The following is a 14,557-nucleotide window of genomic DNA, read 5'->3' on the forward strand; positions in this document are numbered from 1 at the left end:
AACATGGTGAAACCCCGTCTCTACTAAAGATACAAAAAATTAGCTGGGCGTGGTGGCGGGCACCTGTAGTCCCAGCTACTTGGGAGGCTGAGGCAGGAGAATCACTTGAACCCGGGAGGCGGAGGTTGCAGCGAGCCGAGATCACACCACTGCACTCCAGCCTGGGCGACAGAGCAAAACTCCATCTCAAAAAAAAAAGGAATGGGCATGACTTCTTCAGGGCATCCTAACTATTCTTCTTCACGTATATAAATATATGGTGAGAAATCTTAGACTTCCAAGCAACTCTCCTGTTCTACTTTGTAGAGGCATTTAGGTTAGGTCGGATAGCCTCAAAATAGTCAAGACTATCTGCAAAACAGATTGCATTGTGTAAAGGTCCTCTTGGACACTTCTTCCTCATGTCACTCTAGCAGCTCACAACAACCCCAATCACTAACTTTAACGTAGGCTCCCTTTTGCAGGCTGTCTCCAGGCCATAGAAATGCTATAGAATTGCAAGGTGACCCACTTTAGCAGCTGCTGTGTCCAGAAAAGAATTACTGTGACTTGGCAGCGCTGGCGAATCCTCAGAGGGTATAGCTGAAAAATCAACGCCAGATGGCTTGCTGCAGATGCTTCTAAAGGTTACGCTCCGTCAAATCACCCTGGAGGGCCATGCTGAGTTAACATGGCAATGGCACACAGGCCCCAGGCCTCAGTTAGATGCAGGAGGCCCCATCCCCAGCCCAGATGCATCACTTCTAAAGAGCAGCTTGGTGAAAGGTGATGGAAGAGGAGGGGCAGGCAGAGCAGTCTCAGAGGGCCTTCTTTATCCTAGGTCTGGCTAGAGGCAGCTGGGGCAAGCCTGAACAGACAGGGACTCCAGGAGGTGAAGAGGTAGCAGCAGCTGCATTTTTCTGGAAACAAATTAATACAGAAATGGAGCAGCTCCTGGAAGCACAAGATTTTGCCATTTTGGGGATAGACATGCCTAGATTGGTGTTACTGATGGCAGGAGGACAGGACATGTCAGCAAGAGGCAGGGCTGGGAGGGTGACACTGTAAGTGGTACTGTCCTGGGTCAGAGAGAGTGGCTGTGTTGAGACTGCAGAGCTTGTGTACATCACATTGATTGTGTGGTTAGGGGAGCAATGCTATGGAAAGTGGGACTCTGGAAAGGGGTCCCTGTGAAGCCATATGTCTCCAGGACTGCAGCGGGATCCTCCCCTAGAGGAGTGACTACTGGAGCTTCTGTGGAGCATCACCTTGAGAACTTGGCAGGTGTGGGATTTGCTCAACGCTTAGCTGCCTCATTCGTCCTGCACTTGTCTCCAAAATCTTCATCCTGCCTTTATGCACAGTTGCTGACACTGCTAGTGGGGCTTTCTGGGTTTGAATAATTGGGCTGAAAGCACCTTATGTGATTAAGCGCTCCTCAATTTCTCTTTTTAGAACAAAAATGTCTGCCTCTGCAGTGAATTCCAGGATTGCTCAATTCACCACCCTGTGTGTGAAAGTTAAGACCACTGATGTGGCTCATGGGACCTGGGCTCCCTTGTTAGATTAGGACCGCACTGCCTTTAAAGCTAGGCTCTTTTCCTCCCTAGAAATTACAGCCCACATCCTGCCAGCGGACAGGGCACTAGCTTTTGGGGCCTGTGGAGGGGTCGTTGTGTGAAGCTGTGTGCAGAATCTCCCTGTGGGCCTTTGCCTGCATTGGGTCGGCTGGGCTGGGAGGGCGTCCTTTCTGTGCAGTGGGCTAGGCTGTTTCTCCGGATGGAGTCTTCTTTTTGGGGGCTATGGGGAGGGAAGCATGCTTCTGAAGAGCTCACCATGAGCTCCACAGGAACAGGGACCCCACAGCTGACCTAGATACAAGTACAGGTAGGGCCCAGAATCCTCGTGTGGGTTCTCTGGGGCTCAGAGTCCCAGTGCTTTACAATCCCCAAAAGAAAATCATCACCACCATAGTTATTAATATCAGAGGGGCCTCCCGACGACCATATTGAGATGAGTAGTGAGATCCTGCACCGTCTTCAGCAGCGGGGTGTCCTGCTCAGTAGCCTACATCTCTCGGCTACAAATCCCTCTCTGAAAGCAGGGCTGCAATATGACTTTCGGGGGCCCTAGGCACTTTTGCCTTCGTGGGCCTCTTTCTCCATAAAAAAAAATTAAAAAATATATATTTCATGACCATGCTGGTTGAAAGATAAATATGTCATTCTACATTAAAATCTTTTCTTTGACCCAAAAGTTTATTTTCTTCTGATTTTAAAAGAAATTACAACATTTTCCTGGGCCCCTGTCCATATTGTGCGTCCTTGGCATAGCGGCTGTTGTGCCTGATGAATGAGTAGCCCTGGCTGAATGTGAGTTCCAGAAAACAGGCTGACCGACACCTCTTCAGTGTTCCCCAGAGCAGCCTTTTTAAGCACAGGATCTGCTGAAATCTCAAAGCAGGCAGATCTACTTGCTTAGGAGGAGTTTGTGTATGTTTTTTTTGGTTTTGTTTTTGTTTGTTTGTTTTTTTCGAGACAGGGTCTTGCTCTGTATGGAGTGTAGCAGCACTCAGTATGGAGTGTAGCAGCACGATCTTGGCTCACCACAACCTCTGCCTCCTGGGTTCAAGCAATTCTCATGCCTCAGCCTCCCAAGTAGCTGGGACTACAGGCACGCATCACCACTCCCGGCTAATTTTTTCTATTTTTAGTAGAGACAGGGTTTCATCGTGTTGCCCAGGCTGGTCTTCAACTCCTGAGCTCAGGCAATCCGACCACCTTGGCCTTCAAAGTGCTAGGATCACAGGCGTGAGCCACTGCGCCTGGCCAGCAGGAGTTCTTTTTAAAAAAAATTTCGTTCTGGAGCAGTGCTTATGGGGGGAAATGACTGGAGTCAGGGGTAGGAGCAGGTGTGGAGCCCCCATTGTCCATTGCCTTTTGCATTCCAGTGAGCATTCAGCATCTAATAAATAGAAGTCAAATGCTACTAGGCTAAGAAGAAAGATCCAGGAAATGAGGCAGGAGGGTTGCATGAGGTCAGGGAAGGAGGCCTGGAGGCCCTGAAGGCCTGGGAGTGTAAGAGGAAGCAGGAAGGAATGTGGGGAGCCTGCATTTTCCCTCCAAAGTGTATGCACTTGACCCTGTGCCCTCTTCTGGGTTGGTGTGATAAAGGCTGTGCATCAGTTGGACCTACAGACAGGAGGCAGTGGAGAGGCTGGATAAGAGGCCACTGCAGGGGTCCAGTGTGAGTGATAAAGAAGTGATAAATGAAAGAAACAAGAGATGGAATCCCAACACTTAGCAGTGGATTGGTGGGGAGGCCACTACCAGGAAAAGAAAGGGAGAACTATGGTCCTTTCTTGGGTGCCTTCTGATAGAAAACGGCCTGTGGACCTGGGTCCATTTGCATAGTGGCCTGAAACTCGGGTTACCTGGCTCCAGGTGGCCCTGGTGTGAGATGTGTACAGGTGTCTTCCGGAACTGAGCAGGACTTGACTATTCGCCACAGTGTCTCCCAGAGCCAAAGTGGATGACAGATGGACAGACTCCCCAGCACAGCAGTGCCATCCCCAGCAAAAGCAGGACGAGAGTGTGTGTGAGGGCTGGGGAGGGACAGTGCCTGGAGTGGGGGTTGGAACAGTCAAGACTCAGGGGCCAAGGAGAAACATCACTGTTGCCTTGTCTGAATTATGCATAAGCAAGGTGATGTGGAACCCTGTGTGGAAACTTCGGGAGCAATTGCTTAGAAACCCTGACTTTAAGGCCGGGTGCGGTGGCTCACGCCTGTAATCCCAGCACTTTGGGAGGTCGAGGCAGGCAGATCACCTGAGGTCGGGAGTTCAAGACCAGCCTGACCAACATGGAGAAACCCCGTCTCTACTAAAAATACAAAATTAGTCGGGCGTGGTGGCGCATGCCTATAATCCCAGCTACTCGGGAGGCTGAGGCAGGAGAATCGCTTGAACCTGGGAGGCGGAGGTTGCGGTCCTGAGATCACGCCATTGCACTCCAGCCTGGACAACAAGAGTAAAACTCCGTCTCAAAAAAAAAAAAAAAAAAGAAAAGAAAAGAAAAGAAAAAGAAACCCTGACTTCAGGCTGGGCGCAGTGGTGCACACCTGTAATACCAGAACTTTGGGAGGCCGAGGTGGGAGGATCACTTGCGCCCAGGAGTTTGAGACCAGCCTGGCCAACATAGTGAGACCTCATCTATACAAAAAATAACCAAAATAAGCCAGATATGGTGAAGCACACCTGTGGTCCCAGCTACTTGGGAAGCTGAGGTGGGAGGATCACTTGAGCCCCAGAGATCGAGGCTGTAGTGAACCGAGATCATGTCACTGCACTCCAGCCTGGGCATCATAGAGAGATCCTGCCACTAAAACAAACAAAAAAAAGAATCTCTGACTTCAGTTCTCACACAGCCTCTCCTTTAAGTGGAAACTTAAAATATCCTGTTCCCGTGACAGCATTACAGCAAATACATATTTCCACAATCACTACCAAAAATACATGGTGGTCAGGCTCACTTCCTCTCCCTAACAGACACACACACACAGACGCCGCACCACCCCAGCAACACACACTTGTGAGGACTTCAGCATCTTCCCATTCAATAGTGTTTCATCTTAACTCAGGCTGAGCCATGCAAGAGAGGGAAAGCCAAAAGCACGGAAGGTGGCCTTGGTTTTGTTTAGCGCTGTCTCAGGATCAGAATGGGCTGGCAAGCTACTCTGGTTTGCCGAGACGCCCCCAGAAATCCTCTCTGGAGTAACCTTGTGGGTTGCGGTTGCCACAGAGCACGGTGGGAGACTGTAGCCCAGGGTGGAGAGGGTAGGGCCGATGCGTGTCCATACCTCCCCAGGTTTCTGCCCTTGACCTCTCTCCTCCTGTCTCTTCATCAGAGATGGCCACAGAAGCCCAGCCCGGGACCCCAGGACGACCCCTGCCTGCAGAGACAGCCTCCAGAACGGGCACACGAGCGATTCCTCCAGCGGAGAGTCCAGCGGTGGGCACAGGCCGAGGCGGGGCCCCTCGCCGTCGCACGTGCGCTTTGAGGATGAGTCCGCCCGCGAAGCCGAGTTCCGTCACCTGGAGCGGCTGCAGCAGCGCCAGCGCCAGGTGCTGAGCACCGTGTTGCAGGCCGCGGACCAGGGCCCCCTGCGCTCCAAGCCCGACCTCGCCGACTACATCAACGGGGCTCCCCGGCTCCGGGACGCGGGGCAGGGGACATTCCACAGGCTTGTGGGCAGCCTGGACCGCAGGGGACACCCGGCACCGCCGGCACCGGGCAGCGAGAGGAGGTGCCAGGCCTGCGGCAGCTGCATCGACGACCCGCGCCCCGCCCAGGGGAAGGCGCCCCCCGTCCCCAGGACCCTCCAGGAGCTCCAGGCTGCCTGTGGGATGGAGAGGGTGCTGGGTGGCCTGAGCTCCCCACTCCGGCTCCTTCCTGCAGAGCCCCGGCTCCACATGGAATGGATCCGGGAAACACACATCGGAGACACCGTGTGCCCTGCGGAGGTGGACTCTGCCCTGGACAGCACAGACAACTCTGACAACTGCAGGACCGACAGTGAGGAGGCGGGGACCTCTCAGGCTGGCTGGGCGTGTGGGCGGACCCAAGGCAGCAGCCCGCGACTGCGACTGCGGGGCTCCAGGCCTCGAGGCCACAGGTGGTCCAAGAAGGCTGAGGCGGAGCTCCCTTGGGGCCTTCAGGCCCAGCAACACCTGCCTAGGGCTGATGATGTGGAGGTGGAAAATGAGGTGAAAGAGGGCAGAGGACACACGCCTGAAGGAACTCTATTTTTGAGAGAAGATGCCAAGCCTCCTGACCTGGAGTTGAAGCGGGTGTCCCTGGGACCCCAGTGGCAGCCTGGACCAGGGCTGGGAAGTCACCAGCCTCACCCTTTGGATTCCCGGACTCCATGCAGGACAGCCTATGCCACCACCGCCCCCATGACGCCTGAATCATCGGGGCCAGGAGGCCAGGCCCAGGTTACAGAAAGCCACGAGTCCCTGGAAATTGTCTCTCCTTCCTCCCTGCAACAGAGCCATGCAGAGCCTTCTGCCCCACACCAAGCCTGGCAGCCAACAGCTTCCTTGTGTCCTGAAGGCTGGGCGCCAACCCCTCCCCCTTCGAGGAAAACCACCTCGCCAGTGTCTCACAGGAAGGCAGCCCTGGCTGGACTGCTCAGGCTGGGTGACCAGACAGAGCCTGTGGGTATCCCTCGGCCTCCTTCAAGAAGCGCGGTTCTCAGGACCTGTGAGCTGCCCCCATCACAGACCCAGCCCAGCCGCCCTCAGGTCAGGCACCCACTGCTGGCCCTGTCCACCAACAACTGCAACAACAGCGCACCTCGGGGGCTGCAGGAGCCCTACGGGGGAGCCGTCCACGAGGGTAGGGTGGAGAGGGGCCCCTGCAGCCGGGAACCGGAGCCGCCCCTGGAGAACAGCAGAGATGGTAAGGGGCTGCCGCTGGTTCCTGCCCAGCCCAGGCCTGGTGTGGTTCTACAGCAGACGCCCAGACCCAATCCATGACACACAGGCCTTCAGAGTCATTCCCTTTTATCTCAATAGTCAGATGGCAGCGTCACATACCACCTCGGCAGCTCCTTGGAGCTGCTCTGAGGTGTCAGGGGTGCTGGTGGAGGCTGGATGCAGGATTGACCGCCGGCCTGGAGGCAGACTAAGCAACTCCCTCCCGGGGGAGGCAGAACCATGGGGAAGGTGGTGGAGACGTCCTCTTCCTGTTGGGAACCCTGAGGTTCCAAGCTCCAAGCTCCAAGCTCCATGGCTGCTGGAGGCCTGGACTTTAAGGGATGTACTCCCAACAGCTCAGGAAGAGGCAACAGCTCCAGGATTTACTATTTGTTTAGAACAGTAGATGTCCACTAATCACATGGCTGAGGCCCTGCCCCTCCAGCATCATTATTTCATTTCATTCACTCATTCATTCCTTCCGCATTGGCTGAGCACCTGTTATGTGCCAGGCACTATACTAGGCACTGTGGGGAATGCACATGTGAATACTTGAGCAGGAGTCCTGCCCTTGAGGCATTCTGTGGCCAGGCAGACACACTGTCCAGAGGACCCTGTGACCAAGGGAACAGGGCTCCTAGGTGGTGTGCTTTCTGGTACCAGACCCTCCCTGGCCCCTGGGCCTGTTGGTGGACCAGTAGGTTTCAGCAGGCAAGGCTGCTGAAGGGTGTGGGTCTCACCACTTTGCCTTTGGAAGGGGTCCTTATATTGTGGGAGAATCCTGGGGGTTGGCAGGCTCAGGCTCTGATCCCTGGTGTTGTGATCCCAGGTGACCAACTCTGCCGCTCACTTTTAGGCAGAGATAACAGGCTCACTCCACACATTTTTGCTCTAATGTGACCACGGCTCTGACAGTCTTGGGGCTGGGATGGCTCAAGAGGGACCCAGGGCTTGGCAACAGAGTGGAGGGAGAGAGGGCAGAGAGATGACAGACCTTATTGAGGATGTGGATGCAAAGTCCCCTCCACTGCACAGGGACACACAGACTTGGTCCCTCTTCCTCCCTTGCTTACACAAACCTTGAGGCAACCGCCTCCCCCTGGGGTCCCTCCCACCCTGTGCTGAGTGGCGATTTCCTTCTCTGGTGGGCTCTAGGCAGGCTGTGGGCTTGCCCCTAACCACTTCCTGCAGGGCTTCCCTTCTGAGACCTGCTGACCTCTCTGGGCAACGTGAGCCTTTACCTTGGAGCTTGAAGCAGAGCGAGTGAGGCCCTCGGCGAGTCCCTCAGTCCCTTAGCCTGCCAGCATCCTCCTCCATAAAGTGAGGACGATGACGGCACCATCTCCTAGGACTCCGTGAACTCATCTCTGGAGAGGATTCCACTTGCTGCCTAGCACATAACAGATCTCCAGAAATGATGGCTATTTTAAAGCTCTCAGAAATCACAACTGACAAGATTGTGGGTTTTGTCCCAGGAATACAAAATTTTCCCCTGTTCCCACTGTGTCCCTTGATATAGAAGGGACATGGCTTATCATAGTCAACCTTTTCATTTAACAAACAGTGATCATCTACTGTGGACCAGGTGCTGTGCTGGGTGACGAGGTTACAGCAGTCAACAAGACTCAGTCCCTGTCCTCAAATAGTTTCCAGCTTAGAGGACACTCATGAGGGGTCCTCAGCCCTGGTCATCTAAGAGGCCACCCCACCTTCCCTTGCTGCTTCCCAGGTCTCTCCACTGCTCTCCTTGAGCTCCACCTCTCCAGCTTCTTCTCACCCTCCCCCTGTTGCTGGGAATGTCCCATTCCCCCACAGGACCTGTGGGATGAGCCGGTCTGACTCAGGTGGGATGCTGTGCTTGTTTCAGGAGGACCCCAGGGCTTTCTTGGCTCAGCAGATGTTGCCACCATCAACTCCACGGGCATCACCCTCTCCCTGTCCTCAGAGGAGTCAGAGTCCAGCAAGGAATCAGAGGGAAGCCTGCAGAGGACAGGGTCAGGATCTGGAGGACATGTGCTGTCAAGGTGAGTGACAGGAGAAAGAGCCAGATTGCAGAAGGAGGTGGGAATGGGGGCTCTGGGAGGGGACAGAGACCCCCTGGAGTGGTGGCATGACCCACCTCCCTGCCCCTAGTCTTCAGAGGATCCCTAGACTGTGAACAAGCCTGGCAGCCCTCCCACTCCTCTCCCAGTGTCGTTTAGTCTGATGTACCTGATCATTCATTCATGGAGCATCCATTGAACGGCCTCTAGCTGCAGACACTGTGCCGGTGCCTGGGGCAAAGCTAGCAGAGCCCTAGCCCTGGGGAGGGGCCCAGAATGGGGTTACCTGTCTGAGAGGCTTCCTCCTGCTCTCTGCTTGGATTCTCGAAAGTAACCAGATGCAATCACATTTCCCTTCTCTCCTTCAGCTCAGGCAGAGCTGGGGGGAGAAGGGGGGAGTGGGGGAAGGGTGGGGACCGAGTCCTGGCCCTCGGGACCTCCTTGGCTTGCCTCAAAGCCTTGGTGAGCCCGGAGTTCTGGCCAGGGCCTTCTCTTCCCTGTGACACACTATGCCTGGTGGCTGCAGGCAGCTCTAAGCCTGAAGAGGCACCAGAGCCAGCTCTCCATCTCTAGCACCATCTGCTCTCCAGAACTTCAGAGCTGCATGCCCAGTTTCTCCTGGACATCTCCATCAGGGGGTCTGATGGGCCTCTCAAACAAAAAGCTCAACAACTGCTTCGCCCATGTCCCCTTCCCGGCAAACACATCACTGTCTGTCTGCACAGCACACAAGCCCGAATCCAGGAGTCCTGGGCTGCTTCCTCTTCCTTCTCTCCCACTGTAACCCTCTGCAAGTCCTTGCCAGCTCCGGAACCCCCTGCCTCCCACCACTTCTCCTGGCCTGAACTCATGGCTTCTTTGCTATACAATTCTAGTCGCCCCTACCTGCTCTCTGCCTTCACTCTTGCCCCTACATTTCCTTCTCCACACAATAGTCAAGGGTCGCTTTTTAAAACTTGGATTAAATGGTGTCATTCTCCTACTGAAAACCCTGCCTGCAATGGTTTTTCCCTGCACTTGAAGTAGACTTCACACCCCGGCTGTGGTTGGTCCTGCTTTGTGGAATCCGCCTTGCCTGCCTGTCTGACCTCATCTTGTCCTGCCTCTTCCCCCTTTCTCATCACCTACACCCAAGCCTCATGGCCTGGCCCCTTTCTGTTCTTAAACACCCAGAGCTCTTCCTGCCCCAAGGCTGTGGCACCAGCTGTTCCCCACACCTGGACTACTCAACTCCAGGCGTGGCAGCCCTGGCTCCTTCTTCAACTCTCAGTTTAAAGCTCCTCTTCTCAGAGAGACCTTCCCCACCACTCCATTTCAAAGAAGTGCCTGGTCACAGTCTGCTTCACCCACATGGGATGGGTCTCCTTGGTTTTCATGGTCTGTTGTTCATAAGCTCCTGAGAGTAGGCACCTTGTTTGTCTTGCATACACACACCCCAGGACCTAGAAGAGGCTGACACATAGTAGGTCGTTAAGAAGTATTGAATGAATGGGCCAGGCAGTGGCTCATGCCTATAATCCCAGCACATTGGGAGGATGAGGCAGGTGGATCACTTGAGGTCAGGAGTTCGAGACCAGCCTGGCCAACATGGTGAAGCCCTGTCTGTACTAAAAATACAAAAAGTAGCCGGGCGTGGTGGTGTGTGCCTGCAATCCCAGCTAGTCGGGAGGCTGAGGTGGGAGACTAGCTTGAACCTGGGTGGCAGAGGTTGCAGTGAGCCAAGATCATGCCATTGCACTCCAGTCTGGGCAGCAGAGTGAGACTCCATCTCAAAAAAGAAAAAAAATATACACTGAATGAATGATTGGGTGGGCTCTGAGCTGAGTATTATGGCGGGGGGCTTGCCTGAGCTATACTCCCCAAAAGCAACCCAAGCAGAGTATCTGGCAGTCTTTTTTTTCTTTCTTTTCTTTTCTTTTCTTTCTTTCTTTTCCTTTACTCTCTCTCTCTCCTTCCTTCCTTCTTTCCTTCTTTCTTCTCTTCCTTTTTTCTTTCTTTTCTTTTTTTTGGGTCTCACTATGTCGCCCAGGTTGAGTGCAGTGGCGTGATCACAGCTCACTGCAGCCTTGACCTCCAGGCTCAAGTGAACCTCCCGCCTCCATCTCCCGAGTAGCTGGGACCACAGACAGGAGCCACCACACCCGGCTTCCACTTGGCCTTTCTTTCTACAGCCTGGTTGTTAGTTCCTGGCCCCAAATGTGCCAGAGGCATTGGTGCTGGCCCATCTGCGGCCCTTGAGATGGCCCCAGGGTACAGTCTCCCTGGCCACCCTCCCGGCCCTCCCCCGCCCCCTCACCTCCACCCTTGTGTTTCAGAGCATCAGCAGGAGCTGGCACAGGACCCGGCTCCCCCTCGGCTGCCCCTTTGGACCAGAACAAGAAAAGGAGCAGCAGCATAGCCTCCACCCTGGGGCTGAAAAAGCTCTTCTCAGCCCTGGGCCAGAGTTCCCGGCCCAAGCTGGGCAAGTCCCGCAGCTACAGTGTGGAGCAGTTGCAGCCCGCCCCGCCTGGCCTGACGTCACAGTCCAGGGCCCCATCGTTACAATCCCTGCACCCGGTGAGTCCAGGGGCCCCAGCCCAGGGAGTGAAGCCAGTAGCGGTGCAACCACCATCAGAATGAAAAGTGAAAGGAGGGAGGAGGTGATGAGGATGCCTCCCAAGGAGCCCACAGTAGGGAGACGGAAGCTGCTGGCATCCCCATGGTTGACCCATGAGACTTGGGTTCCCCTAGAACCAAGTCAGCAGCTCCTCACACTGCTGTTCCCCGCCAGCCGCCCAGGCCTGGGGTCACTCTAGGCTACTCCCTCTTCCTCAGCTTTGCCACCTCAGCCAAGTCTCGGAGAGTTGACAGCCTGATGGTTCTGGAAACTTCTCCATGGCCATAGTGACTCTGAGCCCAGGCACAGATCACTTCCCACGTGGATTCCCTCAGCAGTCCCTTGACTGGCCTCCCTGCCATGGTCCTGCATGTGGCTTCCAGAGTGGTCCTTCTGATATGCAAATCCGACCACGCCACCCCCTCGCCGAACATCTGTCATTGGTCCCTTATCGCCTTCAAGACAAAGTTCAGACCACTTGGCATGGCCAGAGAGTTTCTGGGATCTGTCTGCTTTCATCCCTCCTCATTCTTCTTTTAACACGCTTGACCCCGGTTGCAGCTGACCCCCTTGCAGTTCTGTCGATCACACACAGTCTGACTTCGAACCTTCAGGGCTCTTTCTCCCACCTTCCCCACCTGCAAATGCCCACTCATCCATCTACTGCAGGCACACGCCCCTCAGGGAGCCGCTCCCAATCCTGCCTCAGGCCGAACTGGGGCTCCACCCCCCTCCCCACCCCCCCAGCCCCGCTCCCATTTCTCCTATGCCTCCCTCCTTTGTGGAACTCATGTTTAGGCATCATGTTTAGTTGGGTTTTTGTCTCTCAGCCCTCACTGGAGTGTGAGTTATTTGAGGGAACAACGCTTGATCTTTGTATTCCGGTACTTACTAGGGAAGCTAGTGCAGTACGCACAATACATACTGAGTGGTGAGTGGGTGGGACGCGCAGGGCAGCTCGCTCAGGCTCTCCCTCACGAAGCGCCCCACGCTCTGCAACCAGGAGCAGCACCCCTCGGACACCCCTTCTGTTCCAGGGAGTTCAGGTGGTCTGTTTCTCCTAATTCCCTCCCCGCTCTCCTAGGCAGAGTGAAGCAGGTGAGAGCGGTTTGCGTCGCTGGCGCCTTTCATTTCCCAGGCTGCAGGCGAGAAGAGGATGCGGACTGAATGAAGGTCCCATTGACTGTCTTCCACCAAAGACTGTCCAAGGCGTGTGGCCAGTGCTCAACAAATATTTGCTGGTTGAGTGAATGGAAGGCAGAGAAACCGCCGCAGATATTGAAGCTGGGGGGAATCGGCAGCGGTGACTTGTGCTCGGGAAGCTCACTGTTCTTATGAAGTTAGGTTTATCCAAAGCGTGTCTGAGCCGTGGCACCCAGATTTATTGTCATCAGGACTTCCATCTCTGTAAGCCCTCCAAGGCAAACACCACCCCCGTCGGTGTCATGGAGAGGTTCATAGGCAATCTGAGCTGAATGGACAGAGATAGGAAGTCGACTGGGCAAGAAAGGGAGGCAGAGCAGGGAGGATGAGCAGCAGAGATAAATTTTCAAGAACTGAAAAAAGACAGAAATTTTCAAGAAAATAAAAAAGAAGATAAAGGAAGAATCTGTCTCCCCTGCAGTATTTGTGACATTCCAATACTTGCTGTTGGTGTGTGGTGCTGCCAAGAGTGTGTTTGCTGGGAGGCTTAGTTTTTTGGGTTTTTTTTTTTTTTTTAAGATGGAGTCTCACTCTGTCACCCAGGCTGGAGTGCAGTGGCGCAATGTCTGCTCACTGCAACCTCGACCTCCCAGGTTCAACCAATTTTCCTGCCTCAGCCTCCTGAGTAGTTGAGAGTACAGGCATAGGCCACCACAGCCGGCTAATTTTTATATTTTTAGTAGAGATGGGGTTTCACCATGTTGGCCAGGCTGGTCTCAAACTCCTGACTTCATGTAATCCACCTGCCTTGGCCTCCCAAAGTGCTGGGATTACAGGCATGAGCCACTGTGCCCGGCTGTATATATGCCACATTTTCTTTATCCACTTGTTGGTTGATGGGCACTTAGCTTGGTTCCATATCTTTGCAATTGCAAATTGTGCTGTTATATACATGTGCACACCATGTACACAGCAGCACAATTTGCAATTGCAAATATATGGAACCAAACTTTTCTTACAATGACTTCTTTCCTTTGGTAGATACCCAGTAGTGGGATTGTAGGATTGAATGGTAGTAGATCTTTTTTTTTTTTTTTTGAGACAGGGTCTCATTCTGTCACTCAGGTTGGAGTGCAATGGCATGATTTCAGCTCACTGCAACCTTCGCCTCCAGGTTCAAGTGAGTCTCCTGCTTCAGCCTCCTGAGTAGCTGGGATTACAGGCACCCGCCACCATGCCCGGCTAATTTTTGTAATTTTAGTAGAGACAGGGTTTCACCATGTTGGCCAGGCTGGTCTTGAACTCCTGACCTCAGGTGATCTGCCCGCCTCAGCCTCCTAAAGTGCTGGGATTACAGGCATGAGCCACTGCACCCGGCACACACCATCTCTTTTTAATGTGCACTGAAACCTTTTAACTTACCTGTGCTCAGCCCTGCCCCCATCATTTTGTGAACTCCTTGAATGATTTCTTGTCTTTTTATCCACGATGTTTGAAGGTGCAATATTCAATTTAAATTTTTGCACGAAAGCAATCATAAAAGACATACTAAAGAATCACAAAATATTTTGAATTTTAACTCTAAAGTGATATTTATTACTGTATAATAAACTTACTTTCATTTCTTCCTTAATGAGTACATTAGATTTCCTTAATCAATGAGGAAATTAGTATAGCACTAAAGTTGTTATTTCAGCTAAAAAGCAAAACAAAAACTCCCTTGACTCCTCAGATGGCCTATGTAGACCCATGATGTCCTTGAGTAAGTCATGGTGGTTCCTGTTGAATTCTTGGAAGCAATGATAAAAGCTTGTGCTGTCACTTTCTTACAGGGCCCTCAGGTTCATGGTGGGGCCAAGTCCTCTGTCAGCACCTCCCAGGTAGCTTTTCTCACCCGCAATATTGTCCCTTTCTCATCAGGTGTCACCCTCTCACCAGCGTCGGAAAGCTGCCTCTTTTCAGAACCTCCATTCTCTGCTGAGCAGCAAGGGGAACCGGTCCAGCCTCTACCTGGTAGCAGGGCCAGGGGACCACAGTGCAGCTGGCAGGTATGAGGGGCACACATGGTTTGGAGGATAAACTCAGAGAGTGACCAGCGGAGCCAAAAGCTTAACTCCTTCCTGCCTCAGCATCATGGCTCTGAGCAGGGTCCTTTGAAGGGAAAGCAACAGGACATGTGATGTGTGGAGACGAGGCTGCCACGGGAGTCTCAGCACCTCAGTGCCCTGCATGGACCCTCGGTGCATTGGGCTCTGAGAAGGCCTGGGGTCGCTGGAGGGGGTAGAGTTGGCCGGTTTGATTCCACTGTCCCTCTGCTGT

General features: G+C 53.7%; 1 protein-coding gene and 1 long non-coding RNA gene across 3 annotated transcripts in view, besides 1 other annotated feature; one reads left to right on the plus strand and one right to left on the minus strand.

The window, feature by feature from the left end:
- Positions 1 to 14,557, plus strand: part of KIAA1614 — a 38,718-nt gene that overhangs the window by 17,334 nt on the left and 6,827 nt on the right. For both annotated transcript variants that reach the window (NM_020950.2, NM_001427641.1), the window contains exons 5-8: positions 4,885 to 6,440; positions 8,325 to 8,481; positions 10,815 to 11,055; positions 14,159 to 14,286. In NM_020950.2, the coding sequence (NP_066001.1) occupies positions 4,885 to 6,440; positions 8,325 to 8,481; positions 10,815 to 11,055; positions 14,159 to 14,286 (2,082 nt within the window). The remainder of the gene's footprint in view (positions 1 to 4,884; positions 6,441 to 8,324; positions 8,482 to 10,814; positions 11,056 to 14,158; positions 14,287 to 14,557) is intronic.
- LOC107985231 (uncharacterized) lies at positions 6,528 to 10,927 on the minus strand. Its single transcript, XR_007066761.1, has 2 exons — positions 10,796 to 10,927; positions 6,528 to 9,951 (listed from the first exon to the last, which is right to left on the minus strand). It is a non-coding gene; the product is annotated as an uncharacterized LOC107985231 (long non-coding RNA).
- Positions 10,697 to 11,676: an enhancer, noted in NCBI's record as "H3K4me1 hESC enhancer chr1:180910063-180911042 (GRCh37/hg19 assembly coordinates)". NCBI's record gives its function as "activates a minimal SCP1, AML or CMV promoter by ChIP-STARR-seq in naive H9 embryonic stem cells {active_cell/tissue: H9 hESC(naive)}" and the evidence as "EXISTENCE:reporter gene assay evidence [ECO:0000049][PMID:30033119]".

Source organism: Homo sapiens, chromosome 1, assembly GCF_000001405.40.
Source record: "Homo sapiens chromosome 1, GRCh38.p14 Primary Assembly".
Taxonomy (NCBI): Eukaryota; Metazoa; Chordata; class Mammalia; order Primates; family Hominidae; genus Homo; species Homo sapiens.